Raw genomic sequence first — 1928 nt, 5'->3', positions numbered from 1 at the left:
AGAATTTGAACCGAAGGCTGACCTCTGCACTTGAGGCACCTGGAAGGGGGGCCCAGGAGGAGTCAAAGGTGGCTCGGGAGGCAGCGGGAAGTTTGGAGATGGAGGCAAGAGGGTGTCCCCAAACCCTGCCAGATGTAACCTCTCCAAAGTTTTGAAGGAGAATCAAGACTCTGGTAGGGAGGGGCAGGCCAGGGCTAGAGGGGAACGGGTGGGACTCCTAGCAGGCACCTGATGACATCTCTGGGTTTTGTTTACCCCTCGTTTACCGTTTCATTGCTGTTGAAGAGCTCTAGACTGAATCTATGCCTGAGTAGAGTAGTGATAGGGAGAAGTCAAAAGAGAGGAAAATACAGAACCTCTAAGATGTGTGTGAAGGTCAATATCATAGCAAATATCAGACATGTGAACGGGAAAGGAGAGCGACTGTTTCCTTCTTCCAGTGGGGAAGGGGAAGCAAAGCTGCAGCATGCAGGACTGAGGCTGGAGAACAGGCCTCTCTGCAGTGAAGTGGGGGAGATTGGAAATGTCTGAGGAGTGAGGATGCCCATCAGAGTCAGGAGCAATCCCAGAAATGCCTAAGGCTTTGCCTGGGGCTGGAAAGGGTATCTTTAACCTTATACCAGCTAGAAACTGGGGACAACGAGATGACCCAGGACAGGACCAGCTGGTCTAGGGGTGTTGTTGCTGCTCATTTGATGAGTAATCCAAAGGATGAGGGGCACAGAGAGGAAGGGGAACCCAGAAGGGGCAGAGAGAAAAGAAAAAATTCTGCTCCCGCCTTCTACTGGGAACAGTCAGAGGACAGGATTCCCCTGGAGTACCCCTGTTTCTCTGGGCACAGAGATGGAGTGAGGGGAAGCCAGCGGAGTGGGGCAGGTCTAAGTGTCCTGAGTGCAAAGAAAGCAGAGAGGAAGGGAGGGAGGGAAGGGGGGCTTTGGCCAGAGGCCTAAGGTGCCTGCTGGCTGGGCTGGGTCCATCTCTGGCCCCAGAGGGAACTCCCTGCAGAGGGATTATCAGCCTCTCCTCTAGCAAATCCACTCTCAGGGCACAAGGCTAACATCTGAATTCCCTAAATAACTGGCCCCCTCCGGGCCTGCAGTTGAGATTTTCCATTACAGGGACCTGGTAGGTCACATCTCACTTCCACGCTCCTTCCCTCTCTGGGTTACAGTCAGAAAGGGTGGGTAGGATGGGGCCAACAGGGCCTTCTCATGGCCCCCCTCTCCGAGCTCAGATTTGGTCTTGGGAGAGAATGGGCAGAGGGAGGAAACAATGAAGGGAACAGATACCAGTTCAGCCCCTGTGTGTTAAGGAGAGAGTGAGAGGGGAGTAGCGGGAAAGCCTGTGGTTAGACACCAGGAGAGACTGTCTAAAGCAAAGTCACTCCAGAGTGGCCCCGAGGCAGCTAGGGAGATCAACATTGGGGCAGGCTTGCCTGGGGGCTGTGGGAACAACATGATAAATTGGGGTTTAGGAAGCGCCTGTTCCGTAGGTTCCTGGGTTGGAATTCCTGGGTAATCTTCTGCCCAGCCCTCTCCAGAACACAACCTGAGATAGGAGAGAAAACGTCAGTCCCCGAATCTGAAGGTGTGCAAACCTCAAGCACTCTAACAGTTTTCATCCCACCCCTCACCCCTGCTGGCACCTCCCAGTACTGCCCAGTCCTTCCAAAGGCCCTGGCTCTGGTCCCTGTGGCCAAACTCAATACCGGAAAGGATGTGCCCTTCCTCTGCCCCTACAGCCTGCTGGGGCTCCCTGCCATGCCCTGCATTTGGGCGAGAGCACAGCCCGAGGGGCGCTGCTGCTCACATATTTAGGGCTCAGAGAAATCAAAGAGTGGGCAGGACACCCAGGGCCTATACTTCCACCGTGCATCACTGACCACCCTCCTTGCCCAGTGAGAGCTGAGGCTCTGGAGTGGTCTACCT

General features: G+C 54.8%; 1 annotated feature.

Moving 5' to 3' along the window:
- Positions 753 to 1371: an enhancer, noted in NCBI's record as "H3K27ac-H3K4me1 hESC enhancer chr1:160083669-160084287 (GRCh37/hg19 assembly coordinates)". NCBI's record gives its function as "activates a minimal SCP1, AML or CMV promoter by ChIP-STARR-seq in primed H9 embryonic stem cells {active_cell/tissue: H9 hESC(primed)}" and the evidence as "EXISTENCE:reporter gene assay evidence [ECO:0000049][PMID:30033119]".

Source organism: Homo sapiens, chromosome 1, assembly GCF_000001405.40.
Source record: "Homo sapiens chromosome 1, GRCh38.p14 Primary Assembly".
In the NCBI taxonomy this organism is placed as follows: Eukaryota; Metazoa; Chordata; class Mammalia; order Primates; family Hominidae; genus Homo; species Homo sapiens.
This window is presented reverse-complemented; position numbering and strand designations above follow the sequence as displayed.